Below are 453 nucleotides of genomic sequence, written 5' to 3'. Positions count from 1 at the left end.
GCTTCACATTGATTTAAACATTTTATTTGACTTATCTTTGAGGAACTTAAGGTTTTAGCTCTCCTATTTCCTAAAGTTGTCTCATATTTCTGTGACTGACATAGGAAAAATAGAAACAGTGAAATATATCAGCTTGATTTACCAAGGGATTTAATTCACTTTGTAATTTAACTTCTTGAATAGGTAACAATCATATGTTTCAAAAGTAGAAAACTATAGATATAAAGTGAAAAATCACTCCTCACCCTCCCGGTGCACCCAGCCCCTTACAAGTGACCACTTTTATTAGTTTAAATATACGTGTGTGTGTGTGTGTGTGTGTGTGTTTGAGACAGGGTCTCTCTCTGTCACCCAGGCTGGAGTTCAGTGGCGCAATCTCGGCTCACTGCAACCTCAGCCTCCTGAGTAGGTGGGATTACAGATTTGCACCACCACACCTGGCTAATTTTTGTA

This window comes from Homo sapiens, chromosome X (genome assembly GCF_000001405.40).
Source record: "Homo sapiens chromosome X, GRCh38.p14 Primary Assembly".
In the NCBI taxonomy this organism is placed as follows: Eukaryota; Metazoa; Chordata; class Mammalia; order Primates; family Hominidae; genus Homo; species Homo sapiens.
The sequence above is the reverse complement of the archived record's forward strand: the minus strand, read 5'-3'. Positions refer to the sequence as shown.